This window comes from Homo sapiens, chromosome 20, assembly GCF_000001405.40.
Source record: "Homo sapiens chromosome 20, GRCh38.p14 Primary Assembly".
Classification (NCBI taxonomy): domain Eukaryota; kingdom Metazoa; phylum Chordata; class Mammalia; order Primates; family Hominidae; genus Homo; species Homo sapiens.
In genome coordinates this window covers 35,665,833-35,690,152 of record NC_000020.11, presented here as the reverse complement: position 1 = coordinate 35,690,152, position 24,320 = coordinate 35,665,833, and the positions used below count along the sequence as shown (strand labels likewise).

General features: G+C 46.5%; 1 protein-coding gene across 3 annotated transcripts in view; it reads left to right on the top strand.

Annotated features, from left to right (window-relative positions):
• Positions 1-22,101, top strand: part of NFS1 (NFS1 cysteine desulfurase) — a 31,301-nt gene extending 9,200 nt beyond the window's left edge. For all 3 annotated transcript variants that reach the window (NR_037570.3, NM_001198989.2, NM_021100.5), the window contains 8 exons: positions 8,172-8,265; positions 9,282-9,416; positions 14,951-15,108; positions 15,536-15,641; positions 15,722-15,803; positions 16,469-16,552; positions 17,309-17,398; positions 20,468-22,101. Coding sequence is in view for 2 of the 3 variants with exons in the window: in NM_001198989.2 (NP_001185918.1) it covers positions 8,172-8,265; positions 9,282-9,416; positions 14,951-15,108; positions 15,536-15,641; positions 15,722-15,803; positions 16,469-16,552; positions 17,309-17,398; positions 20,468-20,531 (813 nt within the window). In the remaining variant the exon portion in view is untranslated. The remainder of the gene's footprint in view (positions 1-8,171; positions 8,266-9,281; positions 9,417-14,950; positions 15,109-15,535; positions 15,642-15,721; positions 15,804-16,468; positions 16,553-17,308; positions 17,399-20,467) is intronic.

Below are 24,320 nucleotides of genomic sequence, written 5' to 3'. Positions count from 1 at the left end.
GATCTCAGCTCTCTGCAACCTCTGGAGGACTTGTTACTTCTTTTTTTTATTTTGAGACAGAGTTTGGCTCTTATAACTCAGGCTGGAATGCAGTGGCGCGATCTCGGCTCACTGCAACCTCCGCCTCCTGGGTTCTAATGATTCTCCTGCCTCACCCTCCCGAGTAGCTGGGATTACAGACGCATGCCACCAGGCCCAGTTAATTTTTTTTTTTTTTTTTTTTGAGGCAGAGTCTCATTCTGTCACCTAGGCAGGAGTGCAGTGGCACTCCACTGCAACCTCCACCTCCCGGGTTCAAGTGATTCTCCTGCCTCAGCCTCCTGAGTAGCTGGGACTACAGGCACGTGCCACCACACCTGGCTAATTTTTTTTTTTTTTTTTTTTAAAACAGAGTCTCGCTGTATTGCCAGGCTGGAGTGCAGTGGCGCGATCTTGGCTCACTGCAACCTCTGCCTCCCGGGTTCAAGCGACTCCCCTGCCTCGGCCTCCCAAGTAGCTGGGATTACAGGCATGCACCACCACGCCTTGCTAGTGTTTTTTTGTATTTTAGTAGAGACGGGGTTTCACCATGTTAGCCAGGATGGTCTCTATCTCCTGACCTCGTGATCCACCCACTTCGGCCTCCCAAAGTGCTGGGATTACAGGCGTGAGCCACCGTGCCCGGCCACACTTGGCTAATTTTTTATATTTTTAGTAGAGATGGGGTTTCACCATATTGGCCAGGCTGGTCTCGAACTCCTGACCTCGTGATCCACCTGCCTCGGCCTCCCAAAGTGCTGGGATTACAGGCATGAGCCGCCATGCCTGGCTCTAATTTTTGTATTTTTAGTAGAGACAGAGTTTCACCATGTTGGTCAGGCTGGTCTTGACCTTTTGACCTCAGGTGATCCACCCATCTCGGACTCCCAGAGTGCTGGGATTACAGGCATGAGCCACTGTACCTGGCCTGGAGGACATGTTTCTTGCATTTGTTGGTGTTTTCTGGTTTGTATGGGAGCCACTGGCCACATGTGCAGGATGCCAGGGACTCACATTCACCATGGCAAAGCTCTGGCCTCCTCCTTCCCTGCACTGATGCTTCTCATCCTGCTAAAGAAGTAGTGTCATTTTCTTGAATCTTATCCACCAGATTTTGGATATCAGCATTCCTAGACAAATCCTAACATGCTGTTTGTAGATGGACCCCTCAATCCAAACTCCAAAGTGTTCTCATCATTCATTATTTCCTCTCTTTTTCATCTTATTTACATTCAGTCATCAATCAGTAACATTTATATCTATGGCCATTTCCTTATAATGTCTCTGGAATTATACTTTTCCCTCCCTCACTCCCACCTTCCCTTCTTCCCTCCCTGCCTCCCTTCCTTCCTTTCTCCCTCTTTTCCCTCCCTCCCTCTTTTCCTCCCTCCCTCTCTCTCTCTCTCCCTCTGTCTTTCTTTTTTTGGAGACAGGGTCTTGCTGAGTTGTCCAGGCTGGAGTGCAGTGGTATGGTCATAGCTCACTGTGGCCTCAGACTTCTGGGCTCATAGCTCACTGCGGCCTCAGACTCCTGGGCTCACCTCACCTGGCTAAATTTTTATTTTTGTTTTGTTTTTTGAGATGGAATATTGCCTTGTCTCCCAGGCTGGAATGCAGTGGCACGATCTTGGCTCACTGAAACCACTGCTTCCTGGGTTCAAACGATTCTCCCACCTTAGCCTACCGAGCAGCAAGGACTACAGGCATACACCACCACACCCAGATAATTTTTTTGTATTTTTAGTAGAGAAAGGGTTTTATCATCTTGGCCAGGCTGGTCTCAAACTCCTGACCTCAAATGATCCACCCGTCTTGGCCCCCCAAAGTGCTGGGATTATAGGCAAGAGCCACTGCAGCTGGCCTGGCTAAATTTTTTTTTTTTCTTGAGATGGAGTTTCACTCTTGTCACCCAGGCTGGAGTGCAATGGCACGATCTTGGCTCGTTGCAACCTCTGCCTCCCGGGTTCAAGTGATTCTCCTGCCTCAGCCTCTCAAGTAGCCGAGATTACAGGCATGTGCCACCACCACGCCCAGCTAATTTTTTTGTATTATTAGTAGAGTCAGGGTTTCACCATGTTGGCCAGGCTAGTCTCTAACTCCTTACTTATGGTGATCTGCCCACCCTGGCCTCCCAAAGTGCTGAGATTATAGACGTGAGCCACTGTGCCTGGCCAGCCTGCTAAATTTTTAAACATTTTTTATAGAGGCAACATCTCAGTACATTCTCCAGGCTGGTGGTGAACTCCTGGACTCAAGTGATCCTCCTACCTTGGCCTCCCAAAGCACTGGGATTACAGATGTGAGCCACCTTTCTCGGCCTCCTCTCATTTCTTTGTTTGGATTGTATCCTGCATCTTAGCTGCCTCTGGACTTTAATCTCTGTTGCCTGAACTAGTCCTTTTGTAGGGTCCAGCCCCACAGGGTCGGTGGGTTTTCTCCCCATGTGCAGAGACGAGAGAGCGTAGAAATAAAGACACAAGACAGAGATAAAAGAAAAGACAGCTGGGCCCAGGGGACCACTACCACCAAGGCACGGAGACTGGTAGTGGCCCCGAATGCCAGCCTGCGCTGATATTTATTGGATACAAGACAAAGGGGCAGGGTAAGGAGTGTGAGCCATCTCTAATGATAGGTAAGGTCACGTGGGTCACGTGTCCATTGGACAGGGGGCCCTTCCCTGCCTGGCAGCCAAGGCAGAGAGAGAGAGAGAGAGAGAGAGGAGAGAGAGAGAGACAGCTTACGCCATTATTTCTGCTTATCAGAGACTTTTAGTACTTTCACTAATTTGCTACTGCTAACGAAAAGGCAGAGCCAGGTGTACAGGATGGAACATGAAGACAGACTAGGAGTGTGACCACTGAAGCACAGCATCACAGGGAGACGGTTAGGCCTCCAGATAACTGCGGGCAGGCCTGATGTCAGGCCCTCCACAAGAGGTGGAGGAGTAGAGTCTTCTCTAAACTCCCCCGGGGAAAGGGGGATTCCCTTTCCTGGTCTGCTAAGTAGTGGGTGTTTTTCCTTGACACTGACGCTACCGCTAGACCATGGTCTGCTTGGCAAAGGGCGTCTTCCCAGATGCTGGCGTTACCGCTAGACCAAGGAGCCCTCTGGTGGCCCTGTCCACGCATAACAGAAGGCTCGCCTCTTGTCTTCTGGTCACTTCTCACTATGTCCCCTCAGCTCCTATCTCTGTATGGCCTGGTTTTTCCTAGGTTATGATTGTAGAGCGAGGATTATTATAATATTAGAATAAAGAGTAATCACTACAAACTAATGATTAATGATATTCATATATAATCATATCTAAGATCTATATCTAGTATAACTATTCTTATTTTATATATTTTATTATACTGGAACAGCTCGTGCCCTTGGTCTCTTGCCTCGGCACCTGGGTGGCTTGCTGCCCACACCTTTAGCAACAACCTTCCAGTGTGTCCTGCACATCCTCATCAGACTTTATTTCTAAAGTACTTATTTGGCCTTTTCTCACTTTACTCAAAAATCTTGAGAGATTTCCCATTTCCTTTGACATGAATTATAACTTCATTTTGCCTGATATTCAGAGTTCTTTACATGGTGCCTTTTTAAGCACTTAGAAATTTCTGATGTAATTCACATACCATAACATTCATCTTTTGAAATTATACAATTCACTGGCTTTTAATGTATTCACAGTTTCCAACAATCATCACTGTCATATTCCAGGACATTTTCATCACTTCATAAAAGAAAGCTATGTATTTTTCTTTTGTCATTTGCACTTTTTTTTTTTTTTTTTTTTGAGATGGAGTTTCGCTCTTATTGCCCAGGCTGGAGTGCAATGGCATGCTCTCTGCTCACCACAACCTCCGCCTCCCGGGTTCAAGCGATTTTCCTGCCTCAGCCTTCTGAGTAGCTGTAATCCCAGCACTTTGGGAGGCGGATCACCTGAGGTCGGGAGTTGGAGGCCGAGGTGACCAGTTCATCTGAGGTCAGAAGTTCAAGACCAGCCTGGCCAACATGGTGAAACCCCGTCTCTACTAAAAAATACAAAAATTAGCCGGGTGTGGTTGAGGGCGCCTGTAATCCCAGCTACTTGGGAGGGTGAGGCAGCAGAATTGCTTGAACCCAGGAGGCGGAGGTTGCAGTGAGCCGAGATCGTGCCATTGCACTCTAGCCTGGGTGACAAAAGCAAGACTCCATCTCAAAAAAAAAATAAAGAAAGAATTCATTTTGAAATCCAAGGTCATGGAGTTTTACCCCTGTGTTTCTTTTTTTTTTTTTTTTGCGGGGGGGTACTGAATTTCGCTCTTGTTGCCCAGGCTGGAGTGCAGTGGCGCGATCTCAGCTCATCGCAACCTCCGCCTCCCGGGTTCAAGCAATTCTCCTGACTTAGCCTCCTCAGTAGCTGGGATTATAGGCATGCGCTACCACACCTGGCTAATTTTGTATTTTTAGTAGAGATGGGGTTTCACCATGTTGGTCAGGCTGGTCTCAAGTGCCTGACCTCAGGTGATCCGCCTGTCTCGGCCTCTCAAAATGCTGGGATTACAGGCGTGAGCCACTGCGCCCGGCTGCTATATATATATATATAAAATATTTTATATATATAATATATAATTTTTTTTTATGAGACATGGTCTTGCTCTGTTGCCCAGGCTGGAGTGCAGTGACATGACCTCGGCTCACTGCAGTCTCCGCCTTCTAAGTTCAAGCGATTCTTGTGCCTATGCATCCTAAGCAGCTAGAACTAGAGATGTGTGCCACCACACCTGGCTATATATTTATTTATGAATGAGAGAGGAACTTGCTCTGGAACCACCAAGGCTTACAGCAGCCTTGACCTCCTAGGCTCAAATGATCCTCCCACCTCAGCCTCCTTCCTGAGTAGCTGGAACTATAGGCGCAGGCTATGATGCCCAGCTAATTTTTTTCTTTTTTCTTTTTGTAGAGACAGGGTCTCCCTTGGCCAGGTGCTGTGGCTCATGCCTATAATCCCAGCACTTTGGGGGCCAAGGTGGGTGGATCACCTGAAGTCAGGAGTTCGAGACTAGCCTGGCCAACATGGTAAAACCCCGTCTCTACTAAAAATACAAAAATTAGCCGGGTGTGGTGGTGTCTGCCCATAATCTCGGCTACTCAGGAGGCTGAGGTAGGAGAACCACTTGAACCTGGGAGGCGGAGGTTGCAGTGAGTGAGACCCCGCCACTGCACTCCACCTTGGGAAACAGAGCAAGACTCCATCTGAAGAAAAAAGAGACAGGGTCTCCCTATGTTGCAAGGCTGGTCTCAAACTCCTTGGCTCAAGCTGTCCTCTGACCTCAGCCTCCCAAAGTGCTAGGATTGTAGGTATGAGCCACCATCCCCAGCTATATTTATTTATTTTTTATTTATTTTTTATTGAGATGGGAGTCTTGCTCTGTCACACAGGCTGGAGTGCAGTGGTGTGAACTTGGCTCATTGCAACCTCTGCCACCTGGGTTCAAATGATTCTCCTGCCTCAGCCTCCTAAGTAGCTTGGATTACAGGTGTCTGCCACCATGCTCCACTGATTTTTGTATTTTTAGTAGAGACAGGGTTTCACCATGTTGGCTGGGCTGGTCCAAACTCCTGACCTCAAATGATCCACCTATTTCAGCCTTCCAAAGTGCTGGGATTCCAGGCGTGAGCCACCATGCCCGGCCCTTATTTTATTTTATTTTATTTTATTTTATTTTATTTTATTTTATTTTATTTTATTTATTTGAGATGGAGTCTTGCTCTGTCTCCCAGGCTGGAGTGCAGTGGCGCGATCTCTGCTCACTGCAACCTCCGCCTCCCAGGTTCACGCCATTCTCCTGCCTCAGCCCCTTCCCCAAGTAGCTGGAACTATAGGCGCCCGCCACCACGCCTGGCTAATTTTTTGTATTTTTAGAGATGGGGTTTCACTGTGTTAGGCAGTATGGTCTCGCTCTCCTGACCTTGTGATCCGCCCGCCTCGGCCTCCCAAAGTGCTGGGATTACAGGCGTGAGTCACCACACACAGCCTATTTTATTTTTGAGACAGAGTTTTGCTCTGGTCGCCCCAGCTGGAGTGCAATGGCACAGTGTTGGCTCACTGCAACCTCTGCCTCCCGAGGTCAAGCAATTCTCCTACCTCAGCCTCCCGAGTAGCTGGGATTACAGGCACCTGCCGCCATGCCCAGGTATTTTTGTATTTTTAGTAGAGCAGTGCTTTCACCATGTTGGCCAGGCTGGTCTCGAACTCCTGACCTCAGGTGATCTGCCGAAGTGCTGGGATTACAGGCGTGAGCCACCATACCCAGGTGTGAGCCACCATACCCAGCAATTTCTTTCTTTCTTTTTTTTTTTTTTTTTTTTTTGAGATGGAGTCTCACTCTGTTGCCCAGGCTGGAGTGCATGGAGTGCAGTGGTGCAATCTCGGCTCACTGCAACCTCTGCCTCCCAGGTTCAAGCGATTCTCCTGCCTCAGCCTCCCTAGTAGCTTGGGACTACAGGGCGCGTGCCACCATGCCTGGCTAATGTTTTGTATTTTTAGTAGAGACAAGGTTTCACCATGTTAGCCAGGATGGTCTCGATCTCTTGACTTTGTGATACGCCCGCCTCAGCCTCCCAAAGTGCTTGGATTACAGGTGTGAGCCACCGTGCCTGGCCTTTTTTTAAATTTTTTTGAGACGGAGTCTCACTCTGTTGCCCAGGCTGGAGTGCAGTGGCTTGATCTCAGCTCACTGCAACCTCTGCCCCCCGGGTTCAAGCGATTCTCCTGCCTCAGCCTCTCAAGTAGCTGGGATTACAGGTGCCTGCCACTGCGCCCGGCTAATTTTTGTATTTTTAGTAGAGACGGGGTTTCACCATCTTGGCCAGGCTGGTCTTGAACTTCTGACCTTCTGATCCACCCGCCTCCGCCTCCCAAAGTCCTGGGATTACATTCGTGAGCCACCACACCCGGCTGGCAGTTTCTTTAATTTTGTCATTTCATACTGTCATGTGGATGGAATCATACAGTATGTAACCTTCTGGGATTGGCTTTTTTATTTTTGTTTTTGTTTTTTTGTTTTGTTTTGTTTTGTTTTTTGAGATGGAATCTTGTTCTGTTGCCCAGGCTGGAGTGCAGTGGTGTGATCTCCGCTCACTGCAAGCTCCGCCTCCCAGGTTCACGCCATTCCCCTGCCTCAGTCTCCCAAGTAGCTGGGACTACCGGTGCCTGCCACCACACCCAGCTAATTTTTTGTATTTTTAGTAGAGACAGGGTTTCACTGTGTTAGCCAGGATGGTCTTGATCTCCTGACCTTGCGATCCGCCTGCCTCAGCCTCCCAAAGTGCTGGGATTACAGGCGTGAGCCACCATACCTGGCCTTTCTTTTTTTTTTTTTGAGGCAGAGTCTCACTCTGTCACCCAGGCTGGATTGCAGTGGTGCAATCTCAGCTTACTGCAACCTGGATTTAAGCATTTCTCCTGCCTCAACCTCCGAAGTGGCTGGGGCTACAGGTGTGTGCCACCAGGCCCAGCTAATTTTTGTATTTTTAGTAGAGACAGGGTTTCTCCTTGTTCGCCAGGCTGGTCTCGAACTTCCGATCTCAGGACACCCACCAACCTCAGCCTCCCAAAGTGCTGGGATTACAGGCGTGAGCCATTGCGCCCGGCCTTTATTGGCTTTTTTCACTAATCATAAGTCTTTGGGAATTCATTCACTGCTGCGTGTGCCAGTAGTTTGTTCCTTTTGATTGATAAGTAGTAGTCCATGTTATGGATGTACGAAAATCGTCTGTTGAAGGAATCTGGGTAGTTTCTAGGTTTTTGGTATTACGAATAAAGTTATTGTGAACATTTGTGTAAGATGTTTTGTGAATTTAATTTTCATTTCTCTGGGATAAATGCCCAAGTGTACAGTTACTGGGTTCTATGGTAATTTCATGTTTAGTTTGATGAGAAACAGAAACTGTCAAACTGTTTTCCAAAGTGGCTGTGATATTTACATTCCCACTAACAATGTATGAACCATTCAGAGTCTGTGCATCCTCACCAACATTTTGTGTTGTCACTGTTTTTAGTTAACTATTCAGATAGGTATGTAGTATAAGACTCCTTTTCATGACTAAGTTTGCCTATATTCTGATTTAGGAGGACTTTGTTTGTACTATCTAGTCACCTTACTCCTGCATATCCCTAGGAACTAGAGGCTGCTATCCAGCCAGATACTAGCCTGGTGTCAGTCATGACTGTGAACAATGAGATTGGAGTGAAGCAGCCTATTGCAGAAATAGGTGAGTATCATGGCTTATCCCTGATCCCTGCCCACCATGGGGCTCTGTATGAGGTAGTATACTGAGAGCTGTAATACTCTATGGAGTGTAGTTAGGAAATCAAGGGAAAGCCTAAGTACTTTGTTCAAGGACATTGGAAGTGTCATAGGCAGTATTTGAATCCAGGTCTATTACCATTTTTTTTTTCATTGAGACAGAGTATCACTCTGTCACCTAGGCTGGAGTGCAGTGGTGTGATCTCAGCTCCCTGCAACCTCCTCACTCTGGGTTCAAATGATCCTACCGCCTCAGCCTCTTGAGTAGCTGGGACTACAGGTGTGTACCACTATGCCTGGCTAATTTTTGTATTTTTAGTAGAGATGAGGTTTTGCCATGTTGGCCAGGCTGGTCTTGAACTCCTAACCTCAGGTGATCCGTCTGCCTTGGCCTCCCAAAGTGCTGGGATTACAGGCGTGAGCCACTGCTCCCGGCCAGGTCTAGCACCTTTTATGGTTTTTAATTTTATTGCAGTTGCTGCCAAAACCAACCACAAAACAAAAAAGCCTGCTACTCTTTTTCCTTTTAGAACATCTCTATTCTCCCCACATAGAGATCGCCCTGTAATTTCTTTAGGCACATTAGCACAAAGATCTGTTAATCTTGTTTTTTTTTTTTTATTTTGTTTTGTTTGTTTTTTAATCAAAAGGGATCTAGAAAGTAATCTGACATTTTGAAAGGCTGGTGTTAATGAGGTGGTGAGAATTGTATGCATAAGAATATCACGAGTGTTTCGATCTGGTGCTTTGCCCTTCATCTTTTTTATTCTAAAGAAGGGAAGCTACTGAGACACAGAGAGGGAGGAAGGGGGAAGGGGGAGGAGGGAAGGAAAAGAGGAAGGAGAAGGGGTAGAAGGAGGGAGGGGAGGAGTTTAATATTTACAGGTCATTTACTATTGGAGATAATTCACAGTGCACTGTGGGACTCTGACAGATGACTTTCCAACATTGTGCTGTGGGTCTTCCCCTCTGTTTCCTCAGGGCGGATTTGCAGTTCCAGAAAGGTATATTTCCATACTGATGCAGCCCAGGCTGTTGGAAAAATCCCACTTGATGTCAATGACATGAAAATTGATCTCATGAGCATTAGTGGTCACAAAATCTACGGTCCCAAAGGTACCAGCCCCTTCTAGAGTTCCTTCTCTCTGTACCTTCCAGCAAGACCTTTGATAGATGTTTGTCACAGTCATTTGGGACTACTGTTGCTCTCAGAGGAAGTTGTACATTCAGAGTCCCTTGTAGAATGCAAATGTCATTTAGCAATAGCCAGAAACACTTGCTTGTTTGTAGACCTTAGCAGTTACTATACATCAGGCCATTCTTTCTTGCTCTCTTTAACAAATCCTTAGCAAGCATGTAGATCTTAATTTGGTTGAGGAAAAATGGGTTTTGTCAAATCAAATTTATCTAGATAGGCCCAGCTATCTTGTTTTCCCCACTATGATGTGCAGAGCAACTATTTGAGTCCCTCATTCCCAGTGTCTTGCTATAGCTCAGGGGAAGATTGCATGGGATTTGACATCTCTTTGTGTTCTTTTTTTTTTTCTTGAGACGGAGTCTCGCTCAGTCGCCCAGGCTGGAGTGCAGTGGCGCCATCTCGGTTCACTGCAAGCTCCACCTCCCTGGTTCACGCCATTCTTCTGCCTCAGCCTGCCGAGTAGCTGGGACTACAGGCGCCTGCCACTACGCCCGGCTAATTTTTTTGTATTTTTAGTAGAGACGGGGTTTCACCATGTTAGCCAGGATGGTCTTGATCTCCTGACCTCGTGATCCGCCCGTCTCGGCCTCCCAAAGTGCTGGGATTATAGATGTGAGCCACCAAGCCCAGCTATCTTTGTGTTTATTCTTAGAAGACTTCATAGTCTGTTATCCTGTTAGTCTCTCAAGGATACATGTTTGTTCCCTATGGTCCTATTGGAATGTGTTCAAGCTTGAGTTATGCCTCTTTCCCTTAACCCTTGGGAATAGACTGTTGTCCTCTGTTTTGTGAAGGTAACCATAAAATATAAATATAAAATATAACTCCTCTTTCTCAAGTGAGGGCCTTTTTTGGGTTGATGTCTGTGCTGGTACCCTTTTTATGTCTGCAGGGTGTGTTATCTGGGTGTATACCTTGTGGAAGTAGGTGTAATAGCTTCTGGAATTATGGAAGATGGCGTCTTCTAAGGGTTCCCAGAGGTTGTAGAGTGTTTTTTGTGAGTTATTATTTCAAAAAGCCCAGTAAGCGTTCTGTCTTTTAATAAAATGTTGCTTTTATTGGCTTTTATTGTAGATAAGTCTTTTTGATAAAAACCAATGAACTCAGGCTGGATACCCCATTCTTCATCATGTGCCTATTTCACATTATATGCCTGTATTAAAACATCTCATGGGCTGGGCACGGTGGCTTACACCTGTAATCCCAGCACTTTGGGAAGCCAAGGCGGGCGGATCACGAGGTCAGGAGTTCAAGACCAGCCTGATCAACATGGTGAACCCCCGTCTCTACTAAAAATAAAAAAATTAGCCGGGTGTGGTGGCATGTGCCTTTAATCCCAGCTACTCAGGAGACTGAGGCAGGAGAATCGTTTGAACCCAGGAGCCAGAGGTTGCAGTGAGCCGAGATCACACCACTGCCTGGGCGACAGGCGAGACTCCCTCTCAAAAACAAAAAAAATCTCATGAACTCCATAATATATATACCTCCTGTGTACTCACAAAAATTTTAAAAACAAAAAACCAATGAACTCATTGATCAGAAGCTCTGATCAACACTTACATGTGTACAGGTGTCCCTCATTATCCAACCTCCTGCTTTCCAAGTCCAGAATCTAAATAGATTTAGATAATGTGGCATTCTTCACTGTTCAGACATGGTATTTGAGCACTTGCTGTTTGAATTTGGGAACTGTTTAGACTCAGATAGTATAAGATTCTTGAATTTTTTTAAATGGAGAAATGAAATAATTCTTAATAAATACAGTTTAATACATTATTTTATTCATTTGTTTTATAGGGACAAGGTCTCACTCTGTTGCTCAGGCTGGAGTGCAGTGGTGCTATCCTACCTTGCCACAGCTTCAATCTCCTGGGCTCAAGCAACCCTCCTACCCCAGCCTCACCAGTAACTAGCACTACAGGTGTGCACCAACACGCCTAATTTTTTTTTTTGAGACAAAGTCTTACTCTGACGCCCAGGCTGGAGTGCAGTGGTGTGATCTCGGCTCGCTGCAACCTCTGCCTCCCAGGTTGAAGGGATTCTCCTCTCTCATCCTCCTGAGTAGCTGGGATTATAGGCCCACTGTGCCCGGCCATGCCTGGCTAATTTTTTTTTTTTTTTTTTTTGAGACAAAGTCTCGCTCTTGTCCCCCAGGCTGGAGTGCAATGGTGAGATCTCGGCTCACTGCAACCTCCGCCTCCCGGGTTCAAGCGATTCTCCTGCCTCAGCCTCCCAAGTAGCTGGGATTACAGGTGCCTGCCACCACGCCTGGCTAATTTTTGTATTTTATTTTATTTTTTGAGACGGAGTCTCGCTCTGTCACCCAGCCTGGAGTACAGTGGCGTGATCTTGGCTCACTGCAAGCTCCGCCTCCAGGGTTCACGACATTCTCCTGCCTCAGCGTCCCAAGCAGCTGGGACTACAGGCGCTTGCCACCACGCCCGGCTAATTTTTTTTTTTTTGTATTTTTGTAGAGACGGGGTTTCACTGTGTTAGCCAGGATGGTTTTGATCTCCTGACCTCATGATCTGCCCGCCTCGGCCTCCCAAGGTGCTGGGAATACAGGTGTGAGCCACCACACCCGGCCTAATTTTTGTATTTTTAGTAGAGACAGGGTTTCACTATGTTGGCCAGGCTGGTCTCGAACTCCTGACCTCAGGTGATCCACCCACCCTTGGCCTCCCAAAGTGCCGGAATTACAGGCGTAATCCCGTGCCCGGCCCAATGCCTGGCTAATTTTTAAAACAGTTTTTGTAGAGATAGAGGTTTCACTATGTTACTCAGGCTTGAATTCCTGACCTCAAGCAACCCTCCCGCCTCAGTCTCCCAAAGTGCTGGGATTACAGGCATGACCCACTGCACCCAGCTTATTATTTAAAATCTGGTGTCCTTCATAATCGATTTGGAAACCACTGCCTTAATTTTTATAGTACCTCCATTCTCAGCATAAACAGTTTTTCTGTGTGGGAGAACTGTCAAGTGCCAATTCTATTCAGAAGCCCTGATTACTTGGTGAATAACTTTGCATGCTCATGCTCATATTTTGGCACAAAATTTCTGTAATTCGGCTTGTTTAGTCACAGGTTATACGCATTTTTAAGTTTTTTGTTTTTTTGAGTCAAGGTCTCAGTCTGTTGCCCAGCCTGGAGTGGAGTGAGTGGCACGATCATAGCTCACTGCAGCCTCGACCTCCTAGGCTCAAGTGATCCTCCTGCCTTAGCCTCCAGAGTAGCTGGGACTATAAGTGCATGCCACCATGCCCAGCTAAGTTTTAATTTTTTTTTTTGTAGACACGGGGTCTCACTGTGTTTCTCAGGCTGGTCCCAAACTTCTGGTCTCAAGTGATTCTCCTTCCTTGGCCTCCCAGAATGCTGGGATTGTAGTCATGAGCCACCGTGCTCCACCAAATTGTTTTTAAATTTAAATTTTATTTTGAAAAAGTAATATTCATGTGATTCAAAATTCAAAAGCTACAAAAAAGTGCACAGACAGCCAGGTGCAGTGGCACACGCCTGTAATTGCAGCACTTTGGGAGGCCGAGGCGGGCAGATCATGAGGCCAGGAATTTGAGACCAGCCTGTCCAACATGGTGAAACCCCGTCTGTACTAAAAATACAAAAATTAGCCATGCGTGGTGGCGGGTGCCTGTAATCCCAGCTAATCAGGAGGCTGAGGCAGGTGAATCACTTTAACCGGGAAGGTGGAGGTTGCGGTGAGCTGAGACCGTGCCATTGCACTCCAGTCTGGGCAACAGAGCAAGACTCTTGTCTCAAAAAAAAAGGGAAAAAAAAGGCACAGACAAAAGTCTGCCTCTCACCTCTGACCTCCAGCTATGCAGTTCCCTTCTGGGGAGGTAATTTCTTTCTTGGTTTTTTTTTTTTTTTTTTTTTTTTTTTCTGATTTTCTCTGGTTATTGGGAGGCAATTTCTTGGGTTTTTCTACAATTATCCTATGTGTTTACAAACAAATATATACTTCTCCTCCAGCTTTCTTTTTTATCCAGATGATAGCATACTGTACTCACTGTTTCAATCTTTCATTTTTCACCTAATGGTACATCTTTTTTTTTTTAGACAGAGTCTTGCTCTGTCACTAGGCTGGAGTGCAGTGGCACAATCTTGGCTCACTGCAACCTGTGGCTCCCAAGTTCAGGCGATTCTCCTGCCTCAGCCTCCTGAGTAGCTGGGATTACAGGTGCGTGCCACCACGCCCAGCTAATTTTTGTATTTTTAATAATTACGGGGTTTCACCATGTTGGTCAGGCTGGTCTCGAACTCCTGATTTCATGATCTGTCCGCCTCGGCTGCCCAAAGCACTGGGATTACAGGTGTGAGCCACCGTGTCCAGCCCATAATACATTTTTTTTTTTTAGACGGAGTTTTGCTCTTGTTGCCCAGGCTGGAGTGCAATGGTGCCATCTCAGCTCACTGCAACCTCTGCTTCCCGAGTTCAAGCAATTCTTCTGCCTCAGCCTCCCTAGTAGCTGGGATTACAGGCATGTGCCACCATGCCTGGCTAATTTTGTATTTTTAGTGGAGAAGGGGTTTCTCCATGTTGGTCAGGCTGGTCTCAAACTCCCGAACTCAGGTGATCCACCCACCTCAGCCTCCCAAAGTGCTGGTATTACAGGCGTGAGCCACTGCGCCCGGCCAATACATCTTTGTTTTTTCAAGCTAAAGTACAGACTTTTTTTTGGATTTCACCAGTTTTGTAACAATGTATCTTGGAGATTTTATGGTGTCAGTTCAGAACAAGCTTCTTCTTTTTTTTTTTTTTTTTTTTGGGAGACAGAGTCTTGCTCCATCACTCAGGCTGGAGTGCAGTGGCTTGATCTCAGCTCACTGCAACCTCTACCACCTGGGTTCATCTCATGTCTCAGCCTCCTGAGTAGCTGGGATTACATGTGCCTGCTACCACGCTTGGCTAATCTTTGTATTTTTAGTAGAGAGAGGGTTTCACCATGTTGACCAGGCTGGTTTCTAACTTCTGATCTCAGGTGATCCGCCCGCCTTGACCTCCCACAGTTGGGATTATAGGCGTGAACCACCACACCCGGCCCCCTCATTCTTTTATACACCTGCTTGGTATTTCATTGTATGGACATGCCATAATCTATTTGACCATTACCCTGATGATGGACATCTAAGTTGTTCCCAGTATTTTTGCTATTATGAATAATACTGTAATGTATGATGGCATTTCATATAGCATAGGGAGCTACTTTAAACCATTTTGATCATTACTCCTTCTGGCATTTATCTTCCAGATGTTAAATATTTTACTAAATACTATGCTTTTACTGCTGTTTCTTCTTTTCCTTAACGTTTTTTATTTAGAAAAATTTCATGCTTACAGAAAAGTTGAAGTAATATTTTGATCCCTTTGGAAAGAAATATTTTGTTTTATCTACTTTTCTCTCTTTCTGTTTTTTGTAACAAATTTTGTTTCCCAGGGGTTGGTGCCATCTACATCCGTCGCCGGCCCCGTGTGCGTGTGGAGGCCCTGCAGAGTGGAGGGGGGCAGGAGCGGGGTATGCGGTCTGGGACAGTGCCCACACCCTTAGTGGTGGGGCTGGGGGCTGCGTGTGAGGTGGCACAGCAAGAGATGGAGGTATGGGGAGAGCAGTTCCCTCCCACAACTTCTTCCCCTGTGCTGGGTCTCCTATTTAGAGGCTTCTCAGCATGACTGAGGCAGATCTCTGCAGGGAGAGAGGGCTTAAGAAAACTCTTCCTTGTCCTGGTGCTGCTGGCACCTTGTTCTGAGGGAGACATTATGGGCTTCAAAACCCATGGCCTTTTAGTAGTTATCAGCTCATTTATTTCTGGATAAGTAAATGAACCCTGTGTCCAGTTATCAAGCGCCTTTTGCATACCAGGCACTATGCTCAGTACTGGAGATACAGTGGTCCCCATGAGTACATAGGATGATAGGTGGGGCTGATACATAGTCACTTCCAGTTATAGGAGAAGGGCTTCTCAAACTGTCTTTCTGAGCTGGTTAATGGTTACTGCCTAATCCTTCCTTGCCTGCTCCTTAGTATGACCACAAGCGAATCTCAAAGTTGTCAGAGCGGCTGATACAGAATATAATGAAGAGCCTTCCAGATGTGGTGATGAATGGGGACCCTAAGCACCATTATCCCGGTATGGACTTGCTCTTTCTATCCTCATTCTGGTAGAGGCTGAGACTCTGAGACCTCTCTCACAGTATTTCTTTCCTCCAGGCTGTATCAACCTCTCCTTTGCATATGTGGAAGGGGAAAGTCTGCTGATGGCACTGAAGGACGTTGCCTTATCCTCAGGGAGGTGAGCTGGACGGCATAGACAGGGCCTGCGGCAGGGCCACTTAGAAGAGTCATACAGGCTATTAAACTTCCCAGTGTGGAGATGATAGGCACAAGACCTCTTGATTAAGGGTAAAGGTCATTTTGTAAGTGCCTCTCTTTTTTTGGTTGGCTGGGTAGCTGGGTACAGACTGAAGTTTACCACCCTAGGAAGACTTCCTGGGGTAGAATTTTGTGCCTTTTATCGTCCCAGGGGATGTATGTGTCTGTTGTGGGTTACACTAGCAGTTCTGTTACAGGCCTCTAGAATTGAAGATGCTCCAAAGGCCACTAAGTGTTTGGCTGCCCTTCAGGCTGGTGCAGATGGTGCATTACGTCCTGGGGAAGTGAGCACATGGTCCTCTGCTGCGTCTTCTTGTCAAACCCATGTGGTATCATGCTCTGTCACACTTTGCCAGCGTCCTTGCTTAAGGAAGTCATCCACCATGGGGGCCAGAGGAGCTAGGTTCACACATCCTAGGATGTGCAGGGGAGCATCAGGTCCTTTAGTTCTGCCAGATTAGAAGGTCTCTTGTTTTCTCCAGGGTATGACTCCAGGGCCCTGGGGGATGGGAACAAGACTGAGGGTTTGTGACTAAAAGTAGACGTTGATGATGAACTGAACAAGGTTCGTGTCTCTCTCCTCAGTGCCTGCACCTCTGCATCCCTGGAGCCCTCTTATGTGCTTAGAGCAATTGGCACTGATGAGGATTTAGCGCACTCTTCTATCAGGTCAGTGAGTTGAGCTGCAACATTTATGAAAGGCATCCTCTTATATTTTTCATCTCCTGTTACAGTTTTTTTCTTTTTCCACCCTGAAGTTTTTCTCAGTCGAGTTCTCCTTATCTCTTCTCATAACCTTGTGAAAGTTTCTAGAGCAGTGGTTCTCAGACTTCATTGAGTATCACCTGGGAAGTTTGTGAAATATGATATCTGAGTCCCACATTCAGATATTCTGATTCACTAGGTCCGGAGGAGGAGTAGAAAACATCTCAGGTGATTTTAATGTTGGTGGTCCGTAGATCATGTTCTTTTTTTTTTTTCTGAGACAGAGTCTTACTCTGTCGCCCAGGCTGGAGTGCAGTGGCATGATCTCAGCTCACTGAAGCCTCTGACTTGCAGGTTCAAGCAATTCTCCTGCCTCAGCCTCCTGAGTAGCTGGGATTACAGACATGTGCCACCAGGCCCAGCTAATTTTTATATTTTTAGTAGAGACGGGGTTTCACCATGTTGGCCAGGCTGGTCTCGAACTCCCAACCTCATGTGATCTGTCCACCTTGGCCTCCCAAACTGTTGGAATTACAGGCGTGAGCCACCATGCCCGGCCGATCCATATACCATGTTCTGAGAAACTCTGCCTAAAGGGGAAGGACCATGTTCTTCTCTCCATATCTTTTGTGTCGTAGATCCTTAGTGAGTATTTGCGGAATGAATTTATCCCAGTGCCAGAGCTCTGATGGGGAGCCATTCTCCTGTGCCTTTTTTCAGGTTTGGAATTGGCCGCTTCACTACAGAGGAGGAAGTGGACTACACAGTGGAGAAATGCATTCAGCATGTGAAGCGTCTTCGAGAAATGAGGTATACATATTGTATCAGAGACGCTTTGGAAGAAACTCTAGCACTGTCTCCCCTCTTGTCCTTAGGCTATGTGTTTACACTGCCAAAACCAAAGTTCAAGCGTACTTGGATCTTAGGATTTAGAGATTCCACAAAGCAAGAAAGTAGATCTTCTTGGCTACTTGTCTTCACAATGAGAAAGTGTTTTTAAAAACTAAAGAACTAGGCCGGGCAGGGTGGCCCATGCCTGTAATCCTAGCACTTTGGGAAGCCGAGGCGGACAGATCACCTGAGGTCAGAAGTTCGAGACCAGCCTGACCAACATGGAGAAACCCCGTCTCTACTAAAATACAAAAAAATTAGCCGGGAGTGGTGGCGCATCCCTATAATCCCAGCTACTTGGGAGACTGAGGCAGGAGAATCACTTCAACCTGGGAGGGGGAGGTTGCGTTGAGCCAAGATTGTACCATTGCATTGCAGCCTGAGCAACAAGAGCCAAACTCCGTCCCAAAAAAAAAAGCCGGGCACAGTGGCTCACACCTGTAATCCCAGCACTCTGGGAGGCTGAGGTGGGTGGATCACAAGGTCAGGAGATCGAGACCATCCTGGCTAACACGTTGAAACCCCGTCTCTCCTAAAAATACAAAAAAATTAGCTGGGCGTGGTGGCGGGCACCTGTAGTCCCAGCTACTCGGGAGGTGAGGCAGGAGAATGGCGTGAACCTGGGAGGTGGAGCTTGCAGTGAGCCGAGATCACACCACTGCACTCCAGCCTGGGTGACAGAGTGAGACTCCGTCTCAAGAAAACAAAAACAAAAACAAAAACAACAAACTAAAGAACTAGATGAATGCAGGTAATGCAGGTAGTAGTTTTTTTTTTTTTTTTGGAGACAAGTTCTTGCTCTGTTATTCAGGCTGGAGTGCAGTGGCACAATCACACCTCACTGCAACTTGTGCCTCCCAAGCTCAAGTGATCCTCCCACCTCAGCCTCCCAAGTAGCTGGTACTACAGGCATGTGCCACTATGCCTGGTTAGTTTTTGTATTTTTTGTAGAGACGGAGTTTTGCTATGTTGCCCAGGCTGGTCTCAAACTCCCGGGCTCAAGCAGTCCTCCTGTCTTGGCCTCCCAAAGTGCTGGGATTACAGGCACAAGCCACCGCACCTGGCCCAGGTAGTATTGTTCATTATGATTATTATTATCTTTAGAGAAAGTGTCTCATTCTGTCACCCAGGCTGGAGTGCAGTGGCACAGTTGTAGTTCACTGTAACTTTGGACTCTTGGGCTCAAGTTATCCTCCTGCTTCAGACTCCCAAGTAGCTAGGACTACAGCTGTGTGCCCCCACACCTAGCTAATTTTAAAAATATATTTTCTGTGGCTGGGCACGGTGGCTCACGCCTGTAATCCCAGCACTTCGGGAGGCCGAGGTGAGCGGATCATGAGGTCAGGAGATCAAGACCATCCTGGCTAACACAATGAAACCCCGTCTCTACTAAGAATACAAAAAAATTAGCCTGGCATGGTGGGCACCTGTAGTCCCAGTTACTTGGGAGGCTGAGGCAGGAGAATGGCGTGAACCCAGGAGGCAGAGCTTGCAGTGAGCTGAGATCGCACCACTGCTCTCCAGCCTGGGCGACAGAGCAAGACTCTGTCTCAATCAATCAATCAATGTGTTTATAAAGGTAATGAGATCCTTGGCCAGTCAGCTGGCACCAGGGCTTCCCCTAGTAGCCACAGAGCTCATCTTCCTCCTGGAACCTTGAGGCCTCTAGATTTTTTCAGAGCCTGGCTCTGTCTTGGTTAACCTTGACTTTCAGGATTCTCTTGATCTAGTTGGTAGAGAGAGGAATTTCAGGTATATACTCTGCTTCCCTTTATGAGCTCTCCCAGGCCTTTCTGTGTTCTGGATTTTTCTTTGTAGGGTCTAGCTGTATTGCTTAAGTGTCTATAGCTTGCTCAACTGCAGGACCCTTCCTTTGTCCTCACTTTCTGGTATTCTGTGGTATACTCACAAGGCATTTCTACTGACCACGTGGCCAGCAAAGCCTTTTGTTTCCTATCTATGTGGCTTCGGCATCTGCACCCTATTCCTTCTGACCCTTTACAAACTGAATGCAGCCTGGTCCTATTAGCTCTCAGAGTCTTATTTTGTGAGCCTATAATAATAAGTGGTCTTCCCTAAAGAGGAAGGACAGGAAGGAGATGGCTAACTTTAAGGGCCATGGAAAATCTCATGAATAGAAAGGCATTCTGGGAATGTTTAGTATATAGAAGAGGGACAAGTCAAGAATATAATGAAATTTGATAAAATTACCTGGTGAAATCTAAACTGTAAAATCCCATATTCATAGCACACTGAAGTAATATCTGGTCTGGGAACATTATCCAAGATATCCAAGCTTCTGCTTGGGGATCGATCAGAGCTTAGCAGAGATTTCTTAGCAGCAGCTCTTGTGTGAGATGGGATGCTCAGGTCTAAGATCCAAGGAATTCTTTTGGATTAGACCCAGGGATATTGGAAGCACAGGCCAACTCTGGGGAGATGAAACGGGCAAGAACTGGGTAAGGGTACAGCATACCAAGATGATGTAGGGTTAAGTTCCACCCCTAACTGGGAACTAGAACAAAACCAAGAAACAAATGCTGAAAAGCGGGTAATATGTGGTGGGCTGAAACGAGCTGCTTATACATGTCATATGAAGAGAGGCTTAAACTAGATGTTTATACAAGTCTCAAGGGTCTTGGTTCCTCCAAGGGAAACCATGGCCATAGCCTCTTACCAGTGGGATGAAAGCTTCAAGAATATGACCATGTTTGGTGTCCATTGGCTCAGGGCCCCACTGCAATTGAGCCTGAGGAACCTAGTTATTCCTGTTAGCAGTTGGGGAGAGCTCTCAGGAGAGCTGACAAGGACTTACAGGGAGCTGGAGAGCTCAGGATACCTTAACCACCTGTGTTAGGGTCTACCAGGGCAAGAGGCAGAGGACAGACAGGGACAGAAGGAGGCAAGCCATTGCTCAGAGCCTTGGGGCCAATGTTGTCGACTTCCTATCTAAGCCCTCACTCATTTAATGCCTCTTCTCTTTGGCAGCCCTCTCTGGGAGATGGTTCAGGATGGCATTGACCTCAAGAGCATCAAGTGGACCCAACACTAGAAGAATAGGGCCCTGACTTTGTGCTGGTCTGGCCCCTCCTGCCTCACCAACCCGTGCACAACCAGACACCTTGTTACACCTAGTGGATGCTCTAGATTGGTATAGACCAGTTGACTTCAGCATCAGTCCACCTCTATGACAGAAACACAAGAAAACTGTCTTTCCCTAGCTTCAGTTCCTTGGGTGTGGAGCACTCCCCATTTCTTCTCGGGTCTTAAAGTGTGTGGACATTTTCATCCCGAAGCCATAGAGACATTTGCTGTCATATTGCTGCTGGGCACATCTGTGCTCTTGGTGAGGAGAGCAAGAGGAACCAGAAGAAGTCTCTTTGGTCAGGGACCATGATGCTCTACATGGACATTTGAGTCTTCGTCTTCTGCTGCTGCTCGGCTGGACCAGCTTCTTTAACAGCAAGCATAATCCACTTCAATGTAATATTTTCTGTAGCTCCAAAGGCTATCTCTTCATATTGACTGCAGACAGACTGAATGGACAGTTTCTTAGAGGGCTTGTCTCCTTTCTACCCTTGTCCTCTTTCCTTTCCTTTGACCTAATGGAGCTAGAAATATGTCTGTGACTCCACCAGTTATTCTAATAATTTGTTTTCTTGAAAATTGTTAATTTCAAGACTGGAGAAATAAACTCACCTTCTATTTACTCTGTGACTTTATGAGAGGTTGAGGGAAAAGTGGAAGCTGTACTTGGGAATTGTGGAGAAGACCGCCACTCCATCTGATTTGCATAAATGACTCAGTGGGCTTTTGTATCTCTTCATTTAAGAATTATTTGAATGCCTGCCAGGAGCCAGATTTGTTCTGGGTATTAGGAATACACTGGTTAACAGGACCAAAAAAGACCCTGCCCTCACTGAGTTTTAAATTTTAGTGGAGAGATGGAAAATAATTAAACAAATAAACAATGTTATAGATTGTGATAAGTGCTATGAAAGAATTAAGTGGTAAGAGGACATAGCAGGGAAAACCTACCATGCTGGGTGTTTGAGGAAAGTTTTTCTGAGGAGGTAGTGCTTATAAATATGAAGAGCTCGCTAATCTAGAAATGAGAGGTGAGAAGGAATGGCAAGAGCTAAGGGCCTGAAGTGTGATAAAGCACAAAGTATTATACTTTAGAAACCAAGAGAAGGCCATTGTAACTAGAGCTTTTCATTTGTGGGTCTGAACCCATAGGTGGGTAGTTACCAGTACTTAAAAAAGGAGATAGTATGTTAGAGTACATTTATGCATATTTTAAGAATATATTTTGATGATATATTTGAATTTGTATACCAGGTTATAAATGTATTTCTTATTGTGGATAATGGTCAAAAAAGTTTAATTGCTTTTCATACTTGCCAGTAGCAGGGGGACAGGAAAGTTTGAAAGCCACTGGGCTAAAGTTTGGTAAATGTAGATGGACAGTGGAAGGAGGAGATGAAATTATAGAATTTTTCTTGTTGAAAAATATCTTTTTTACTTAGAATAATTTTAGATTTACTGAAAAGTTGCAAAGATAGTAGAGTTGTAGATCTATTACCAGTTTTCCTCTAATTAAAAAGTCTTACATAAAACTATGCTAATTTGGCTGGGTGTGGTGGGTCACACCTGTAATCCCAGTACTTTGGGAGGCGAAGGTGGATGGATTGCTTGAGCTCAGGAATTCAAGACTAGCCTGGGCAACATGGCAAAACCTTTACTCTACAAAAAAATACAAAAATTATCTAGGCGTGGTGGTGCCCACCTGTAGTCCAAGCTATTTGGGAGGCTGAGGTGGGAGGATCGCTTCAGCCCGTGAGATCAAGGTTGCAGTGAGCCTTGATCGCACCACTGTATTCAAGCCTGAGCGACAGAGTGAGACCCTGTCTCAAAAACAACAATAGGCTGGGTGCTGTGGCTCATGCCTGTAATCCCAGAACTTTGGGAGGCTGAGGTAGGCAGATCACGTGAGGTCAGGAGTTTGAGACCAGCCTGGCCAACATGGCGAAACCCTGTCTCTACTAAAAATACAAAAATTAGCTGGGCATGGTGGTGGGTGCCTGTAATCCCAGCCACTTGGGAGGCTGAGGCACAAGAATAGCTTGAACCCTGGAGGCAGAAGTAGCAGTGAGCCGAGGTGGCAGTGAGCCGGGATGGTGCCACCACACTCCAGCCTAAGCAACAGAGCAAGACTCCGTCTCAAAAAACAAGGCCAGGCGCGGTGGCTCATGCCTGTAATCCCAGCACTTTGGGAGGCGGAGGGAGGTGGATCACGAGGTCAGGAGATGGAAACCATCCTGGCTAACACGGTGAAACCCCCGTCTCTACTAAAAATACAAAAAATTAGCCGGGCGTGGTGTCACGCACCTGTAGTCCCAGCTACTTGGGAGGCTGAGGCAGGAGAATTGCTTGAACCTGGAGGTGGAGGTTGCAGTTAGCTGAGATTGTGCCACTGCACTCCAGCCTAGATGACAGAGTGAGACTCTGTCTCAAAAAAAAAAAAAAAAAACAACAAAAGAAAACTATGGTACATTTGTCAAAACTTAGAGGTTAACATTGGTATATTAGTATTAATGAAACGTGATTTTCTAAAATTATTAAAGATTTTTTTATAGAGACTGGGCCTGTGTTGCTCAGGCTGGTCTTGAAGCAATCCTCTTGCCTCTTGGCCTCCCAAAATGCTGGGATTACAGGTGTGAGGCACTATGCCCGGCCTAAACTTCAGATTTTATTCAGCTTTCACCAGTTTTCCTGTCTTTTTTCTGTTCCAGGATCCAACCCTGGATGCTACATTGCATTTAGTAGGTTTTGTTTTTAATGGACTATGTTTTACCTACACAGAGCAAACCTATAAAAACCTATAAAGCATAGGTTTAGTTTAACAGTGTGGCCTGGTTTTCCAACTTGCTGTTTTTGGCATACTGGGCTAGCACCAGTCCAGTCTGCCATAGAAATCCCGAAAGGTTGTTGGAATTGTGATAATTTCAACCTTTTTTTTCTTTTTTTTAAGTGATAGGGTCTTGCTCTTGTTACCTGAGCTAAAGTGCAGTGATGCAATCATAGCTCACTGCAGCCTCGGACTCCTGGGCTCAAGGGATCCTCCTGCCTCTAACTCCCGAGTAGCTAGGACTACAGACTTAAGCCACCACATCCAGCTTTTAATTAGCAGGGGCATGAAGTTCGGGGGGCTAGGCCCAAAGCGGCTTGAGAACAGCTTTCTTTTTTTTTTTTTTTGAGATGTAGTCTCGCTCTCCTGATGGTCTCCATCCCCTGACCTCGTGATCCTCCCACCTCGGCTTCCCAAAGTGCTGGGATTACAGGCGTAAGCCACCACGCCCAGCCAGAGAATAGCTTTTTCTATAATAAAATAATACTATAGTGAAGCCGTGGAGGGGTCACGATGGATTTAATTTTTTTTTTTTTTTTGAGACGGAATCTTGCTCTGTCGCCTAGGCTGGAGTGCTATGGCGTTATCTTGGCTCACTGTAACCGCCACCTCCCGGATTCAGGCGATTCTCCTGCCTCAGCCACCCTGGTAGCTGGGACCACAGGCGCCAGCCAGCACGCCCAGCTAATGTTTGTATTTTTAGTAGAGACGAGGTTTCGCCATGTTGGCCATGCTGGTCTTGAACCCCTGACCTCAGGTAATCCGCCCGCCTCGGCTTCCCAAAATGCTGGGATTACAGGCGTGAGCCACTGCGCCCTGCCCTAGATTAAAACTCTTTTTTTGTTTTTTTTTCTGAGACGAAGTTTCGCTTTTGTCATCCAGGGTGGAGTGCAATGGCGCCATCTGGGCTCACTGCAACCTCCACCTCCC